Here is a 19832-nt window from a genome sequence, read left to right as displayed (position 1 = left end):
TGCTGGGTACATATCAAAAGGAACTGAAATCAACATGTCAAAGAGATATGTGCACTACATGTTCACTGCAGCATCATTCACAATAAGCAAGACATGAGAGAAGCCCAAGTGCCCACCAATGGAGCAACAGATAATGAAAATGTGGTGCGTGTGCACACATGCACATGCACACACACCCCAGAATGTTTTCCAGCTCTTGAAAAGAAGAAAATTCTGTCATTTGCACTAAGGGTTAAATGTAACAAAGACACACACTAAAATGGCCATCAAAATGGAATCAATCAATCAATCAATATAGTCAAACAATGGAATGCTATTTAGCAATGAAAAAGAATGAACCACACATATATTTAAAACTACTGTTCAACCTGGATGAATCTTGGAAACAATGCTGTTTGAAAATAGCCTACATCTACATAAAGTTCAAAAACAGGCAAAATCAGACTATGATGTTACAAATCAAAATACAGGTTTTGCTGGGTGAGTGGCTCTATACCTATAATCCCAGTGCTTTGGGAGGTCAAGGCAGTAGGATCGCTTGAGGCCAGGAGTTGGAGACCAGTCTGGGCAACATAGGAGTCCCCATCTCTTCAATATATATCTAAATTAGCCAGGCATGCAGCATGTGCCTGTAGCCCCAGCTACTTGGGAAGTTGAGTCAGGAGGACCACTGGAAGCCAGGGTCACTGGAGCCTGGGAGTTGGAGGCTGCAGTAAGCTATGATTGTGCTACTGCACTCTAGTCTGGGCGACAGAGTAAGATCCTGTTTCTTAAATTAAAAAAAAAATAGTGGTTACAGTATGGACCATATGTGTGACTGGGATGGGGCAGGAGAGGTTCAGGGAAGTCAGGAATTTCTATTTATTTATGTGAGTACTAGGCACATGTGTGTTTGCATTTAAAAATTCATTCAGGGAATACTATGATTTATGCTGATTTCTATATGTATGTTACATTTTACTAAAAATGTTCTTTAAAAATAAACAATGTAAACTCATTAAAAAAAATACTTGACAAACCAAGAAGAAATAAAAATGGGAAGGTTGGCCTAAAACAAGGTTGAACAGTAAAGTATTTACATAAATTGTATGTATATAATGCCACAATAAAGTGGGTTCAAATGGAGATTTAAATCTAAACTGATTTCTTTCATTAATTCCAGAAGCACTGACACAGCATCCATATCATACTCAAATTGAGGTGGGAATGAGGAAGGCATACAGGAATATACAAGAATAAAAAGGTACTCCTATGCCCTTGAATAATTTATAGCCTTCAGAGAGAAAGAAATCTATATTTCTGAAACATCTAAGGAAGAATGCAGTGGTACAGATTTAAAAATTTGAGTAAGAGAAAAATTATTAAAGATTGAAAAATATTCACATTTCCAACGTTCCTTGAGAAGGAATTACATCCTTTTAAGGATGTAATTATGTGAAGATTCTGCAACAGTCTAGTCAGATGCTGAGGTTATTTCTTCCAAAATCTCAGTTGCATCTCTAGAAATATTTGGCCACCAGCATTGTTTTCTCATTAATCATTCTAGCCACCTGGCCTTTGGAAACTATTTTACACTATCTTCAGCTTTTTCATTTTCTCTATTAAAACCTATTATCAAGTAAAGTTCAAAAGTATAATGCAAAATTCTCATATTTGCATATTTCTCTTAGTTAAGGAGAACATACACAATAACTTTTAATAATCTGATATGGGGAAATAAATTATGCTTACTTATCAAAAGCAAAAATGCAATATGGTATTTTTTATCAAGAGTGTTTTAGTGATATTCATCACCACATAATTCTTCCTTTCCACTTCATAAAATGAGCATTGGAATTAGCTTTCACAGTCATTTCAGGAAGAGCATCACAAAACCAAGTAGATCTGATCCTTAAAGATCAACTCAAAGGAATTAGCTAATATATCTGTATTTCAAAACATGACAAGTGTAAATAACTAAGTGAATCTTTATATGCACATATGAAATACTTTAAAAATATTCAGTTAATATCCCAAACTTTGTTAATTACTGGGACTAGAGGGAAGAGGTAAATGGAAGGAGGTTTTGAGAAGGGGACTTACTTTTTATTTTATATAAACATTTTTAAAGTATTTACAGTGGGCATACATTTCTATACTTCATATTTTTAGAGTGAGAAAAGACTAGATACATTATCTTTCGATATATTTTTTAGAAAAGAAAGAAAAATGAAATGACTGGGAAAAGCATTTGTTTTAAAAACATGTTTTCTTAAGTTGTTCACCACTGTCAGTGAAGAGCTAAACATGGAAAGTGACTTAATAGGACTCGCTTGTAGAATGGGAGAGCAGCACCACTATTTACCCAATTTATACTGCAGATCACACACAAAGACTACACTAGGAGTGCCGTGCGGTTCAGCTCTGCCCCTTATGGTTATGGCAAGAAGCCTTAACAGCATCTACTCTGATTGTTAATTTCTTATAAACAGTGCAAGTCCTGGACATACAAATCTCCCGACTCAAATATCTTTGGCAAAATAATGACAATTTTGTCCCAAAGGCATCATAATACTCAAATAATAAGGGTAAAACAGCAACAGTAAGGTGGTTTAAATTCTTAGTCTGAAGAAAAGAAAACCACCAAAAAGTCTTCCAGTTTTTCTTTTATAACTCATCATTTGCCAATATATCTTGGAATAAAAGTTTGTATTCAGAGATACAGCAAGTTCATGAGAATCCACAGAAATGGTAAGGTAATCAGAATATATATTCCCATTTATACACCTAAAGCTCCCACCCCCAGCCTTTTTATAACAACATTTTACCACTTAAAGTGCATATATGTAGTGGAGGGGAAGAAGGACATGTTCTGGTCATTATTCAGATGGTTGAAAGCTAGCAGCTGAAACCGTTAGTCTCTTTTCCTCAGAAGGCCAAGAGGTTGGCAGTAGTAGGGGAATTGTCTTCCAAGGACAGCTTCTAAGCTGGGGAGGAACTATAGGGGAAATGTGACCTGTAGTGAAGCGTTTTTCCATTTACTCTCCTGAAGCAGATTTTTATTAAACATAAGTCATTCCTCTCCCAGTGTCAGGATCTACCTCTAAGAGGTTTAGGGATAAAGTTGCAGGTTACACCACTGAAAGATAAAGAGAAAATACCACTCTCATGTTCTCCTTTCAAAATTGGAGAAGGGCAGGTGGTGAAAAGAGGAATCCCAGAAGGAAGAAAATAAATGAGTACAAGAGAAATGCCAGTCTCATTGATTTCTGGACTCAAAACATCTCTGAAGAATTTCTGATAAATGACTATGTAGACTCATTAGTATTTCCATTTCTCTTTTTATCCTTTGGTAAAGATGTAATGAAAATTTGAAGCTAAATAATGAAAAGCAAGCAGGCAGAAAGATGAAGTAGACACAGAGGCATGAAAGATGTACTTGCTACTCCTTGAAAATAAAAAATGAACTCACCAACCTCCCCACAACACATACTGTGCACATGCATACACGTGTGCATGAGTGTGTGCGGAATAGGAAATTGTCCAGGTCATTTGATGGAGATAGGATTCAAGTGGCTATCAATGACCTGAAGACATGGTCCTATTCTCATTTAGTACAATGGGCATTTCTTAACTCTTAAGGGAATCATGCTTCAGCTTTCACAAACATGGACTACACTCTCTGAACAAAGTGCCAATGCCCTAAAATGTTAAGAGAATGCTGATGCTGCTTCCGTGATGTTCCTAAACACACAGAACCCAAGAATGGATTCTTTCTGTCCTCTCTGACAACAGCATTTCTAAAGCGCCAACAGTACTGCATGCCTCCCCCATTCATCTTCATAAAGTTTAAGACTTACTCTGACATCCACTCAAACCTCTAACAGTAGCCCATTTCACAGGGTCCTAATTTCTCTTTTTAAAGTATGGTATCTTTATTTCTTTTTTAAACAAATTGTAATCGACATATCTTTTGGTGGTGATTTAGCCAGATCACTTCATTTAATATTTATTTCAATGTATTTATTTTTATTTTTTACTTGTGACTTACATAAAAGTCACAAGAATAAAACAAAATATTACTGGATACCATTCAACAAGATTGCCCGAAGTTTAGCTTTTAGCACATCCTCAACTGGAATATTCACACATCTCCCTCCTCCAACTTCTTCCTTCCTCCATCTCTCTCTGCTGTGTACATAAGCAGTGGAACTTCACACTGGAAATAATGCTGTCGCCTAATTTCCGGACCTTTTTAGATTTTGTCAGTTATCTTAATCATGCCCTCAGTAGCACATCCCAAATCCCTTTCAATCTGAAAAAGTCCCACAGTCACTCTGTATATTTCATGACTGACATTTTTGAAGTTATTTTGTACAATGTCTCTAATTTGCATTGGTCCGAAGTTTCTTCATGATTACATTAGATATTTCCTCATGATTGTGTGATTAGATTCAGGGTCTGCACCTTTGGCAGGCATAGCACAGAACTGATGCTGAGCTCTTAGGGCATCGTAACAGGAGGAGCCCGCTGTGCATTAGCCCTATTACCGCTGATCTTTGATTACAGTTTGAATATCCCTTATCCAAAACGCTTGGGACCAGAAGCGTTTTCTATTTCAGATTTTTGCAAATTTTTGAATATTTGCATATGCATAATGAGATATCTTCGTGACAGAATCCAAGTCTAAACATGACATTCATTTATGTTTCTTTTACACCAGATACACATAGCTGAAGATAATTGTATACAATATTTTTAATAATTTTGTACATGAAATAAAGTTCTTGTACAGTGAACTATCAGAAGGCAAAAGGTGTCACTGTCTCAGCCACCCACATGGACAATCTGTGGTTGTTTGGCATCACCATCATTCCTGACTCTGAATTTATGTTACCGATAAGCAATCATTTTCTTATACTCATTCACCCGTAAGTATTTAGGGATCAAACTATGACATGCCATTAATACAGTGAAAAAATAATGTTAAAAGTTTAGGGTAACTAAGCAGCACAGTAGCATCACCAGAATACCTGGATTAGCTGCGAAACGGCAGCCACAAAAAAAAAAAAAAAAAAAAAAAAAAACAGCAGGTTTTCCATCTCCAGCTAAAAGGCTGTGTTTTGATTAAAAGGTTATTGTGTATCTTATTTTTGAGCTTAGAAGAAACATCAGAAGCAGCTGAAGGACCAAGAAGTGGGCCCTCTAGGGATGAGGAGGCATTCTGCCGGAGGGCTTTTTAAATGTTTTCTCCAGCGTCATCTGCCTCATTAACAATGGTTTTTGGGTTAGAAGTCTCTCTTTGATTTTATAAATGAACACTATTTCTTGTTCTGTGATGAAGGCACTGCTCCAGTACAAAAAGCCCTTCACACTTTTTCACCCTGTTGTCTATAGGCACTTTTTGTGCAGTGCCAACGATGTCATCTCTATGATCATGTCAGTGCTCAAAAATTTTGAAATTTAGAAGCATTTTGGAATTCAGATTTTTAGATTAGGGATGGTCAATCTGTGAAAGTTAAAGTAATGTCTGCTATTTTTTTCCCTCTGTAAAGTTATCATTTTACCTCTTATAATAAAAATATATCTTGTGGGTATATAGTTTCAGATGATGTAAATATCCTGTTCCTCGTCAAAATTTCATCCACTAGTGTCAACATTCGTTGATGATTCTTGCCTGACTTAATTATCACTCTGATGGTTACGAATACTGATTTTTTAATTCCATTATTCATTTGATATTTTTTGGTTGGCTTTCTAATGCAAGCAAGAGCTTTGCTTTCTCCCCACTTATTTATCTATTTATTCATGCATTTATTAATATCAAGCAGATTTATACTTTATTTAATAGTTATAACAGTTAAATATTATTTATTTGGAGCTCAAATTGTCATAGATTTAGCCAGTAGAAATCCCTTCAAAGTGGACCTGCATTCTTTTGCAATATTCCCACCATTTAAATATTTTCTTACTTTTTGGCACATGAAGATCTCCCAAGCTCATCTTGTTTTTTCTGATTCGCACCAGGAATCAGCTATTTTTCTAAGGGGCCCAGGGTTATTTTAGTAGTAAATGGCATTTAGAAACCAAGATCTGAGCTCTAGGAGTGGCTTGTTGCTACTGAAGTGGCAGTTTCTCAGTTCTCTCAATAAAGAAGCTGAAAAATTGATATATGTCTATACACAAATATAGAAACACGTGTGTGTGTGTGTATATATATATATATATACACACATACATATACATACAAATAGCTATATGCAGGGTTTTGCTTTTTGCAGTTATTAAAGTTTTTTAGAAGAGGTTTAAATCTACCAAAAAGTTGTGAATACAGTAAAGAGCTCCCCTGTGCTCTATGAACAGGGTCCCTTATTATTCACAAAATAGAATCATGTATAGATTAAAAGATATTTACCCCAGTCCTAAAGATAGCATCTTTCTTGATGAGAAACACTAAAGGTGGCTTCACTAAGATTAGGTAAAGGCAAGATTTCCCACTGTTTCTACCACTATTAATCATATATTACCCAGTGCATTTAGAAAAGGGAAATTAATTATCTGAATAAAAATTGAATGAAAAGAAGTAAAAGAAAATGTTTATGCAGATGATATGAGTGTGTACCTGGAAAACCCTAGAGAGTCAATGATAAAATTAACTCAAATAATAAAATAATTCAATAGAGTAGCAAGCTATAAAATTAACATAAGAAATCAGTAGTGTTCAGGTACATGTATAATAATTAGAGGATACAAAGAGAGAAAACATTATTTACAATAGTAACAAAAGATAGAATAGGAATAATCTTGAAAAGCAATGTATAAAACCTGTATGAAGAAAACACTGAAACAACACTGAAAGACTCAAAGGTTGATGTTAGCATATGTAAAGATACACTTGTTCTTTGAAGGAAAAATCAACATTGTAAAGATAGAAGCTCTCCCTAAGTTCATTTACAAACTAATTCAATTAAAATAAAAATACTAACACACTTCTTTCTCTTCCTGGAGCTTTATTTTTCCAAGACTGCTTACTCAGATCATGTGTGGGTTTTTAAGTCACTTCCCAGGAGGGGCTGCTCTAAACTGGAGGAAACTCTCAATACCATACACAGGGAAGTCTCTTTTTCCCTTGTGGCAGCTTTAGGTCAATTTTAGGACTGCTGCTAAGTTCTCCTGCCCTTTCTTTTCTACAGCACGCCCCTTTTCCCCACCCTCAGCAACTCCTGCATTCCCCAAAGGGTGGGAATACAGGAGACAGCTCACTGGACTTGGTGTTTATTTTCCTACTTAATGTTATTGGAAGATGGGTTTTCTCCATGTTCCAGTTATGCTGGGATTATGGATTTTGTGTGGTCTTACTTGTTACTCTTATATTTCCTTATTGTGTTTGGAGGCAAGTTGTGAAAACAATTTTAGAAGGCCTGTATGGCCTTGGCTATTATCCCATTAATCATTACAAGAACCCTGTTGGGTGAGTCCATTAGCTCAATTTCCAGATGAGAAAACCAAGGTTGCAAATTCAGACTCTCCTCTAATGTCAAATAGTTAAGGAGATCAGGAGCGAGAAAGTCCAGAGTCAGGAGAATTATCTAGGATGCACAAGTTTATGTCTATGATTTGCCATCTAGGTCTAAGAGAAGGTGAATGCTTCAAGATATGCAGGTCAGAAGTTTTGTATGCATCCCGTAACCTTATGAGTTCTGGCTTTTATATTCCAGTTTATAACAGTCCTTGAAACAACAAATTCTTGATTTTATAGGGAACTGCTCCCATACAGAAGGTCCAATGACATGCTCATCACTGAGCATGACACCCTCAGTGTTGGCAAGGCGGGACAAAGGACCTGCCAAGAGCATCTGCCACCATTCTTTTCCTTCAGAACCTGAGCCTACTATCTCAAGAAGCTTTCTTGTCAATCAGATGTGTCCTGTCACTTCTGTTTCCATCTTCACAGTTCTCTTACGTGTGGTGAATATGATTAATAATAATGTCCATTTCAAAATTGCTAAGAGAGTACATTTCAGATGTTCTCACCACAAGTAATGTTAAGTATTTGAGGTGATGAATATGTTAACTAGTTTGACTTAATTATTCCACACTGTGTTTATAAATTTAACATCAATTTGCACCTCATAAATTTACGCAATTATAAATTATCAATTTATCATAAAAATGAACAAACACACACTCATACAAGTTACACATCCACATGAATGTTCAGGGATGTATATGCACACATACACACATACATACACACATGTGTGATATTCCAAATATTTAACCCCTGGCGTGGCAGGGTGACTCATCAGGTTACTGGACGGTGGAGAGGTCTGGAAAGCGCTGGGAGATTGGCTGGACTCTGAAGGGCTGCAGGGGTGGAGCGGTGAGTGAACATTTCTCAATACATGCTGAACTGTTTCCACAGTTAGTGCACACCCTCTGAATATCAGCTATGCAAACACACACACATACACACATACACACATACACATACGCACACACAAGCTTTCCTTTCTAAGCTATGGAAAAATACTTCAAGAATAGACTTAGAGACACCACGTCAAGTAATTTAGCTTAATTTAAAAACCCCACTCAGCATTTCCTATGGCTCCTCATCCTTTGTTCCAGGTTTTCCAAAGGTAAAGGTGAATGAGGAAATACTGATTTTCCATTTAAAGTGAAATGGTTTTTTTCCTGTATATATTTAATTTATTATCAAGATTTGTTAAATTCAAAATACATCCAGATTTCAGGAATAAGAGTAGGCAGTTAAAGCAAAATGCATAAAGGTAGTGTGTAAATGGCAGGAGTTTATTTTTTTAAAAAAGCCCTGCTATTCCTTATTCATATGAAAATTGGAAACACTCATTATTCTGGAAAAATGCCCATTGCTTTCCTGCTTTCAAGTTTTGCTTTCACAATTCTTTCTACTTAGAATTTTCCCTCAATTTCCCATCTCTCTTCTCAAGTATACAAGTATACCAATGCTTTCAGCTTTGTTCCAAATAACACCTTATCAGGAGAATTCCCCCAGCCCCAATCACTCTGGCTAGAAATGACATTCATGATTGATCATGAATATCACTTCACTCTTCTCCCTGTGAGTTTTTCCTTGCTCATACCCTTTCTATGTGCACCTTGTTCACTGCCTATACTATAATATACTTGGAGGTTACTTTATGTATCATCAGTATCTCCTAGAACACATATATATGTGTTGTTGTGTTGAATAAACATGCTGTTTATTAGTATATTATTTATGTATACCCACGATTAAGCTGGGATAAACTGAGAGGATCACAGGGGCTTTTCCCACTTTGATTTTTTTCTTTCACTTCTGATTAAATCTCCAATCCCAGTAACACTGTAGGGAGGTATAAACCCACAAAACACAAATGATAACACCAGCAATTCCTCTTCCAACAATTCATCCTAAGGAAAGCATAAAGATTCAGTTATTGGTATATTCATCTTAGCACTATCTGTAATACCCCAAAAAACTGGAACACCCCAAATATCCAACAATAGGTAATTCCTTAAAGAAATCGAGGTGGCTTTGTCCTTTGTGATACAATGAAGCCATAAAAAAGACAATGTAGAAAAAAATGTGTAATCGGTAAAATGCTCACACCAAAGTGACAGGTCATCATTCAGTATATATAATATGATCCACAGCTGCTGAAGTAGGGCTGTGTAAGCCTGTGCACAGGCTGCAGTGGGGGAGCATTTGAGGATACTCAAACAAATGAGGGGTCAGAGAGAGCTTCTTGGAGGAGATGACCCCTAAGCTGAGATGACTGAGTGCAGGACGGTGGGCAGCCATGGGGCCATGGTCTAGGGTATGCTCCAGGTTGATGGAATAGTGTTAAATAAAGGCCCAGAGGCAAGAGGAAGCCTAGATTTGAGGAACCTCATGCAGCTTACTAAAACCCAGACATCTGGTAAGAAAAGCGGCAGAACCAGGCAAGCACCAGTTTCCCTGCTCCCCAGCCAGCTGTCTCAAGCAGAAAGGCAACCCCTCATCCCAGCTTAAGCCCCATACTTTGTTCCTATCAGAGCCTTGAGGATGCAGCAAGAGAACAATAAAAATGCAAGTAATAGTTAGGAGATTTACATACAATTTTGAAAATAAAATTATAAATGAATTATAAAAGAAACACAATGACATCTGGTAGCAAACTAACATGGAGAGAATAAAGTCGAGAAGGGAATCACAAATCCCGCCACCAATGGACAATCAGCATTTTGTTGAATTCATACTTGATGAAGGGAATAAAGGCAGCAATACACCTGCTTGCCATTCTCAGGAAGAGTGGTGTCACCTGCAGGGGTTATCATCAGCACCTCTGCAGACAGCAGACTCTGCCAGAGGCCCTTCATGAGAGAAACCCTGCTCGGGCCCCAGGATCTTTTGTAAGGGCAAAGGCACACTGCAGTAGGCAGCTTGGGTGATCGCCTGTCAGCAGGAGTGTGGCTGTGAAATTGCAGCGTCTCTCAGTCCTGGCTTAGACCTGTGATAAATGGTCTGCCCCAAGGAGACACGCAGCAGTCCGCTGCCAGCAAACAGCCGCCAGACTGTCAGTGGGCAGCCTTCTCCTAGAGCAGCAGTGACAGCTGACGGGGAGCACACCCCATCAACTCTCCACACGAGGGAAAAGGTGCAATCCCCTTAAAAGATGTGAAAATACTATGCTCCTAGGAAATGTTACCTGACATTGTGAACTGTAAATCATTTCCTCTCTGAATTATAGTGTTAGATATGCATATGTGCTTTAACCAGCCCCAGGGGATTCTGGTTCCATATTCAGCACTGAAGTTGTTACTGTGACTCATGAAAGCCCAGGAAAGGATGACCAGAAGGACCGTGCAGTACAGAAACCAATGCTGCAAACACCCGAGGATACTTTTGCCAAGTGTCATCAAAGTCGATGGGTTCAGAAAAAGAGCAAGCTCCCTTGCTGCAGGCGGGTCTGGCAGAATCCCTGTCACCATGGCAATCCCATGCTCCCAACCCTCCTCAGAGACACCTCGGAGCAGATGTTATGATGCCAATTCTACATCATAAGCTGCCCAAAGTCAGGCAACTTGCTTCCGTTCTTCAAGCCACTTGCACACAAAAGAATGAAAAATCAGAAAAAAAATTGATATGAACTATCATGCACTAAGCGCCTGGTACATCCTAGATTTGGAATAGCACATGGCATATACATTGTCTCATGTAGTCTTCATTTCAAACCCACAGAGTTCAAAAAATCATCTCCATGCTATTGCCTATGAGAAATAGGAGACAATAAGCAGCAGAAATTCTCTAGTTAGTCACATCCAGCGGAAGCCTACATAGTGATCTAGACCTTCCAAGCCTTAATTGTGGGCTATTCCCCCTTATTAACCCACAGTTCTTCCTGGCAACCTGGACTGGCTTTCCACAAATGGGTGACCTCACGTAAGTCTCTGAACATGTTTAAGGACTGAACTAGATGGTACTTAAAATACCTTCTATGATTGAAAATCCCTGACTGATTCGAGTCTAACAATGTGCTAGGAATGGAAGGCAATTTAGACTTATTAAGACAGTTTCTATTTTTGAGGAGCATATATAAGAAGGAAGCTCAACTTAGAATACAGAGTTGAATAAATGTGAAGCCATGCAGTAAGAAGTTTGTGTGAAATAGCAGATGAGAGAAGGGAGCCGTCTGTGAGGTCCGCATAGTCAGAGTCAGAAATACCCTTGGCAAAGAATTTATAGCTAAGTTCTTAAAAGCAATCGCAACAAAAACATGCAATGCAGAGCATGGTACCATGGCAAGTAGAGACGGGTACGAAGTGACCAGAAAGTCAGTGTGAAGAATCCTGAGGACAGGAACCTGTGGATGGAGCAGATTTGAACCAAGCTCTGGAGGGCATAGGTCATGGGGAGGACCCTGTGGATGGAGCAGACTTGAACGAAGCTCTAGAGGGCATAGGCCATGGGTGACGTTGACCTTGTGGCTTCCTAAGTGGTGACACTAGAGGCCCTGAGAAAGAGCAGGGCCTAGAGCGAACATCATAATGGATGTGGACAAGCAAAGGCTCAGTGCTGGGGATGATGTTACAGGGCCTATGTATACAGGGGGATTTTTGTTGTTGTTGTTAACTTTCTGGTTTTTTCACTCATAGGTTCTTGACAAGTGTTGAAAACCCTTTGATAGGGAGAAACCAGTTTTCTGACAAGAATTTACGAACCCTCACTTCTGGTGAAAAGGAGCTGCCCCTGGGTTTATATAGCTACAGGACAACTCTGCCTAACAAAGCAGCAGCCAGGGAAGTGGGAACTGAGTGTGGTGTGGAGGAAAATGAAGGAAGGAAGATGAGATGGGAATTGGCTGCCAGAGAAGAGAATGTGGCCAAGAGAAAAACAATAGCTAATATGGTGGCTCTAGGCTTGGAAGAATTACAATGTGTCAAAATCAGGACATTTCTGAAGTTGAAATGTAGTGGCATTCATAATGACAGCAGGACAATGGGGATAAATGGGGTTTCACTGAGCAAACCGGGGTAAATGACCACTCTATGTAAAACTCTTCCTCCATCTTTCCTGTGAAAACTTCAGTTCAATATATGTTTCTGATAAATGCCTGGTATGGCTAATATCCATATATACATATCTTAAAGTGCCCAGGTCCATTTTCAAATTTACTACAGCATAGAAAAGAGATGCTGCTCCTAAGGACTGCAGAACACTGGGTAACACATTGTCAAACCTGGAAGTTAGATGACAGCCATCCCCAAAATGCTATCTGTAGGAAAACAATTCCACAAAGTGTCAGTATGTACTTTACAAATAAAATATCCAATGTTCCAACAATTTAGGACACTCCCAAGGAAACACAATTAAGCAGGTCTTCAGAGGTATTCTGCCTGCAGCCCTTTCTATGGTAATGTGTATCATGAGTTTCCGTAAGAGAGATAAAATATGCAGTCTTGTACACTTTTATTTTATTGGAAGATCTATTTTTCCAGGTTATTCATTAGGAGGCCCTGGAACTAATATCCCATGGAAAATAATTTGGAAAATTATCTGTTAAATGAATGGGTTAGAAGACTTCCAGATAGAGTATCTACCTTCAGCACTCCAATTCATAAGAACAAGAAGAAGGTGGCACTGGTCTGAAACATGAAATATCCATTTGCTGGTAAATAGAGAGGGAGAAGGAGCTCTTGGCAGGCTGCAAGGTGATTGGATTCTGGTCTCAGCACTACCTCTCTTTGAAAAAGTAAACTCCTTTGAATCTCAGTGTAATGAAAGGGTTGAATTCAATGCCTACGATTCTTTTAGCTCTTACATCTTGATTCCTACATTGTCATTGGGTAAATCCAGCATTCATTTAATTCTTTAAATATCGAGTACCTACCATGAGCCAGGCACCATGCTAAGTGTTGGAGATACCAGATGAACAATGAGACTTATCTTACAGTGTCTAGAGCTGGTAGTTCTAAACATTGGGGATTTCCCATGGAAAGCAAATACAGAATTTTTTTTTTCAAATTTGATATTAAAATCTCAGATCAGGAGTACATACACAGGTAGGAGGGGATGTGGATGAAGGGAACATTGGAACAAAAATTAAAAATAAGTAAAATAAATTAGCCAGATTGAGAAAAAATGAAGTATACATTATATACTATATACAGCAAAGGAAATATGGGTTGAATATGATAGTCTATCAACACAAGATATTATCTAACCACCAAAGATAATGCAAAATAAATAACAACATATTTCTTTCACCACAGCTATAACTCCCTTTCTCAGGATTCTCATGGCTTTCTGGGGTAGTGGTAGTTACTCTGGCATTCATTTCAGGCTTCCCAAATCAACTTCTAATCTTGTATTTCTAGCCTCTTACAACACAGAGATCAGGAAGATACCTGTCTCAACTGTGCAACTCATTGTGCATTGATCTAACGCATTTATTCAAGATTACAAACATGGTTTCAGGACAGTTCTTCAGGCAAAAGGAAGTAACTGAGAATTCAAAACACTTCCTGCCCTCTAATCCCTTAAAAGGAAGTGCTGCTCTTGAGCTTTGTAAAAAACTTGCACACCATGGTCTATGTGGCAAGTCACTGTGTAGAGCTCACAGATCTCCTGAGGAACAGGCAGGTCAGGTCATTCCTTTGTGAAACACTCTGGTTGGTTCACAAGCCACCTGTCCACCTTAGCCCTGGAGAAGCCATGCTGTCATTCTCAGTGTTGCCTCTGTCCTCGCAGAGCAGTTCCTAAGACAATAGCTATCCAATGTCAAAGGGTTGGCAACGGCTACATTTTCACAGACACTAAAACGACTTCAAATGACATCTCCTAGTGAAAGAATGGAAAGATCACCTAGGAAAGCATATCTATACTTTCTTTACCCAATCACATAAGCCACTTGGATTTTCTGAGCATAATTTTTTAAAGGCACTAGATATTTTACTCTTTTTGTGGCTATTGTAAGTGGAATTGCATTTACAATAGCCACAAAAAGAATAAAATACCCAGGAAAACTTCTTACCAAGGAGGTGAAAGATCTCTATAAAAAGAACTACAAAACACTGCTGAAAAAAATCAGATATGACAGAAACAAATGGAAAAACATCCATGTTCATGGATTGGAAGAATCAATATTAAAGTGGTCATACTGTTCAAAACAATGTATAGATTCAACACTATTTCTATCAAACTACAAATGTTATTTTTTATACAAGTAGAAAAAATAATTCTAAAATTCATCTGGAACCAAAAAAGAGTCCTAATAGTCAAAGTAATCCTAAGCAAAGAGAACAAATTCAGAGGAATCATGTTACCTGACTTCAAACTACACTACAAGACAACAGTAATCAAACCAACATAGTATGGGTACAAACACAGACAAAAAGATCAATGGAACAAAACAGAGAACTCAAAAATAAAGCCACACATCTACAGTCATCCAAAGTCCATAAAGCAATAAGGAAAGGACTCCCTATTCCATAAATGGTGCTGGGATAACTGTCTAGCCATTTGCGGAAGAATAAAACTGAACCCTTACCTTTCACCATATACAGAAATTAACTCAAGATAAAGACTGAAATAGAAGACCTCAAACTACAAAATTCTTAGAAGAAAACCTAGGAAATACCCTTCACAACACGGGCTTTGGCAAATAATTTATGGCTAGGTCCTTAAAAGCAATTGCAACAAAAACAAAAATTGACAAGTGAAACCTAATTAAATTAAAGAGCTTCTGCACAGCAAGAAAAACTATCGATGGAGTAAACAGACATCCTATAGAATGGGAAGAAATATTTTCAAACTCTGCATCCAACAAAGGCCTAATATCCAAAATCAACAAGGAACTTAAATCAACAAGCAAAAACAAAATAACCACACTAAAAAGTAGGCAAAGGATATGAACAGATACTTCTCCAAAGAAGATATACAAGTGGACAACAAACATGAAAAAATGCTCAACATCACTAATCATCAGAGAAATGCAAATCAAAACCACAATGAGACACCATCTTAGTCAGAATGGCTTTTGTTAAAAAGTCAAAAAACAACAGATGCTGGCAAGGCCGTAGAGAAAAGGGAATGCTTATACACTGTTGGTGGGAATGTAAATGAGTTCAGTCCCTGTGGAAAGCAGTTTGGAGATTTCCCAAAGAACTTAAAACAGAAACACAATTCAACCCTGCAATCTCACTACTGAGTATATAGCCAAAGGAAAATAAACTGTTCTACCACAAACACATGAACTCATAGGTTCACTGCAGAGCTAGTCACAATAGCAGAGACATAGAATCAACCTAGATGCCCATCAAAGGTGGATTGCATTAAAAAATGCGGTATGTATACATCATGGAATACTATGCAGCCGTATAAAAGGACAAAATCATGTCCTTTCCAGTGACATGGATGCTCTGGAGACCATTATCCTAAGTGAACTAAAGCAGGAACAGAAAACCAAATACTGCATATCCTCACTTATCAGTGGGAGTTAAAACATGAGTACACATGAACATAAATATGAGAACAATAGATACTGGAGAGTATAAAAGGGGGCAAGGGATGGATGAAAAACCACCTATTGGGGAGTATGCTCATTTCTTGGGTGATGGATTCAATCGTTCCCCAAACATCAGCATCACACAATATACCTTTGTAACAAACCTGCACATGTACCCCCAGAATCTAAAATAAAAGTTGAAAAAAAAAAGGCACTAGAGATATAACTTTGCAGTCAGCCCTGTGGCTAGAGACTCCACACAAATTTTTTTCTTTAATAAGTTATATAAATATGTTGCTTTTATTGTATGAAATATATTCTCTTCTGGATAACTGTTTGCCAATTCTCGGGCTCCTTTTTGGGGCCACCCAAAGCTTTTGATCAGGCATGCCATTTTTATTCTCCATAATGTAGCTGTCCACTATTTGTTGTGATACCTGAGAGAATGAGGGAATGACAAAACAAAACAAAAAGCTAAAAGTCATTCATCTGTGACTATAACTAACTATATATAATTCAAAAGAGAATAAAGAACTTTTCCCAATAATTTCATTTTGGGAGAGTAGAATGAAGCCTCATATTCCCAAATGCCTATTATCACTTCCAAACAAATTTCAAATTAGTTTTGGCCCATCTATGCCTTAAGAATAGTTTTCTAGTACAGTGGGCTTTCTATTATTTTTGCCTTGCCTCTGGATCTCTGGCTTTCTTTTCTTCTCTTGCCCAAAATATTGGTCTAAGGAATGAGAATGTTAGAAGCAGCTAGATATAGATATAGACTTAGACATATGACATATAGACAATATAGACAAATATAGACAGTTGATATGAATATGGATATGTACATGTGGAATTTTAAAAAATTCCCCTAGATTGCATAAGTGATAGACATTTTTAGATATATAAATTTCATTATTTCATAGTAGCTGTCTCAACTGTGTTTCCACATAGAATCCTAGGATTCAGGAGCTCAGACTTTGTAAATACACTTGTCTTGTGATCACAGGCATGTCTTAACCCTCCCTTATTTTCAATCTCCTCTGCTGTAAAATGGGAGTAAGTCACTGCTGTGGTTTGAATGTGTACCCTCAAAAATTCATGAGTTAAAACTTAATGGCCAATGTGATAATATTAAGAAGAGGGGCCATTAAGAGATTTTGTTATGAGGGCTCCTCTCTCCTGCATGGGACTAAGGCCCTTGTAATAGAGGTTTCTCACAGTGCTTAGCCCTTTTTCCCTCCTCTGCGTTTCACCATACGAGGACACAGTGTCCCTTCTCTCCTGAAGATGCAGGAAAAAGGCACCATCTTGGAAGGAGAGATGGACTCCTCACTAGACACACTGAACCTGGCTATTTCCTTGATCTTGGATTTCCAGCTTGCAGAACTGTGAGAACCACCAATGCCTGACCACCATGCAGGGCTGTTATAAGGAGTAAAATGAAATAATGTAAGTGAAAGTAAGCATTTTGAAAGTGGAAAGTAGTATATAAACAGAAGGTTCCATTATCTTTAATCAAAACCGCTAGAGAACACAGGCATTTTTCATCCTTATTGTATGACATAAACAAATTTGAACACTAAAAATGAAATCAGCCCAAAGTAAAATGTTAGAAATGACAATGAGCCATTTTTCACAACAAAGAAATTGATTTTCCATAGATGTTCTTTCCTATTGCATGTAAAGGCCTACATCCATCAATACCTAGGTCCCTTGTTTTGACACTGGGTATAATTACGGCCCATCCCATAGCTGCTTGGCTCATGTTACTATCAGAGCCTGAGGCCACAAAATTTCCTCCCTATTACCAGAGGGATATGCCAGGATTTATAGTAAATTGTGCTATTACTAAGGCATTTTCTTTAATTAATTAAAAAAACAAGTCATTCTTTTTAAGAACGTGATCTCAGACTATAATGTGGGCTATGCCTGCACCTTCCAGTTCAAATATTCTAACTTTTTACAATCATGATTTGTAAATAATGCTTTCAAACATCTGGATTGACTGAAGATTACCAGACACTCCACTCTTGCAGATATGAGCAACTTCCAGAAAAATCAAGATAGCTGCCAGATCTTCCATTAAGCCTTCATGTTATCTTTTTTAACCCTCAAAACAAGCTATATTATACCAGTGTTAAATTTCTAATTTGTGATCATTGAACTATGGTTATGTGAGATGTTTACATTGGGGCAGTGCACAGGGAATACAAAGGAACGCACTGTACTGTTTCCTCAACTCTTCAATGTTTCTGTAAATCTAAAGATTTTAAAATACAAAAGAGTTAATAAAACAAAAATTTTACAAAATAGCATCCTTACGACCATAAGTCTGGAAACTAGGCCTCTGAGAGATAATCAATTGCCTGAAATCAGTTGTCATTTCCACTAACTGATACCACCAATTCATTCTATAAAGTATTTAAGTAAGTTTTTTTACACAAAATGAAAGATAATTATAATAATGATAAGAGCTGACATTTCTGCAGCAGTATTCACATGCCAGGAACTGTTTTAAGAACTTGACATAGATGAAATCAGCATCTATATCAAATTTATGATGTAGGTCCTATTCTAATTTCCATTTCTCACAGCAAAACTGAGATGCCAAAGAGAGCAGTAACTTTCTCAAAGTCACACACCTAGCAAGTGGAGAAATTAGGAGTGATACACAGTATACACGATGACACTCAAATGATATGAAAGAAAGGAAGGACGTAAAATGAGTCCAGGAAGGAGACAATCTGGGAATCCGGTCATCAGTATAATTTTCAGGGTGCACTCAACCTATGCTGGCAGCTATATTATTACAAAGAGATGGGCGAGTATGTTTGATTTAGAACTGACCAGTGTTACTCCTACGGATTCTCATACAGGATGCGGAAACATACAAGGTAATGACCCTAAATCTCATACCTTTTGAAGAAATGACAATGAGTTTCATGGTGAAGAGTCTTATAACTTCATACACTATAGGCAGCTTCATACACTATAGGCAGCTTCATACACTATAGGCAGCTTCATACACTATCACAGCTGTGAACATTTCTGTAAAAATAATTCTGTAAGTTGTCAATATTATGTTCTCCAGGCACACAGCTCTCTCCAGTCAGAATTAATTCAGGGAAGGATTTCGGAATATCTGGACATACACTGTTTCTCTCAGCTGCGCCTGTGATAAATATTGCATGGAAATGATTTTGTGACTGTGCTCCCTGCCAAGTTCCTAAAGCACAGGGTCCTACTTGTCTCAATAAACAAATGCCCATATGCCTTAGTATTTCTCTAAAGAGGTAGTTATACTTTCCCTTTCATATTATCTTCTCATACCTGCTGGGACGCCTTACAAACAAAGAAACCCTATTTACAAATAAGGATGCTGATTGGCCCTTCTGGATAAGTGAATTTTCTATTTACCTGAAGTTTCCAATTTAAACTTGCAGCCTGATCTTATTTTAGCTTTTAATTACAATGCACTCAAAATATACTGCTAATTTCCTTAATCCATTCTAACTTAAATTTTAATATTAAAATTGATTAATTAAAATCATTTATGTAATTAAACATAATCTTGATAATTTGGGAAAAACTAGACATCTCCTTGCCTGTGGTTTTCTACCAAGAGCAATATCACCATGCCTTATGGGGACAATAAAAACTATGTGGTCCATTTTGTTTGCCATGATGATGAGGGGACATGACTGTCAATCCATGGGGGAGTGCCAGAGATGCTACATATCATTAATTGCAGGACAACGAGGAAAAATACAAAATTGTCCTGTCCAAAGTGGCAGCAGATGGTCCACAGAGCTACCTTCACTTGCAGGATACTGAGGAGATTCCCCT

At 37.7% G+C, this 19832-nt stretch overlaps 1 protein-coding gene across 2 annotated transcripts in view, besides 1 other annotated feature; it reads right to left on the bottom strand.

The window, feature by feature from the left end:
- Window positions 1-19832, bottom strand: part of THSD7B (thrombospondin type 1 domain containing 7B) — a 912174-nt gene that overhangs the window by 476276 nt on the left and 416066 nt on the right. The window lies entirely within an intron of this gene.
- Window positions 10250-10544: a silencer, noted in NCBI's record as "tiled region #1885; K562 Repressive non-DNase unmatched - State 24:Quies". NCBI's record gives its function as "represses a minimal TATA promoter and a strong SV40 promoter by Sharpr-MPRA in K562 cells {active_cell/tissue: K562}" and the evidence as "EXISTENCE:reporter gene assay evidence [ECO:0000049][PMID:27701403]".

Source organism: Homo sapiens, chromosome 2 (assembly GCF_000001405.40).
Source record: "Homo sapiens chromosome 2, GRCh38.p14 Primary Assembly".
Classification (NCBI taxonomy): domain Eukaryota; kingdom Metazoa; phylum Chordata; class Mammalia; order Primates; family Hominidae; genus Homo; species Homo sapiens.
This window is presented reverse-complemented; position numbering and strand designations above follow the sequence as displayed.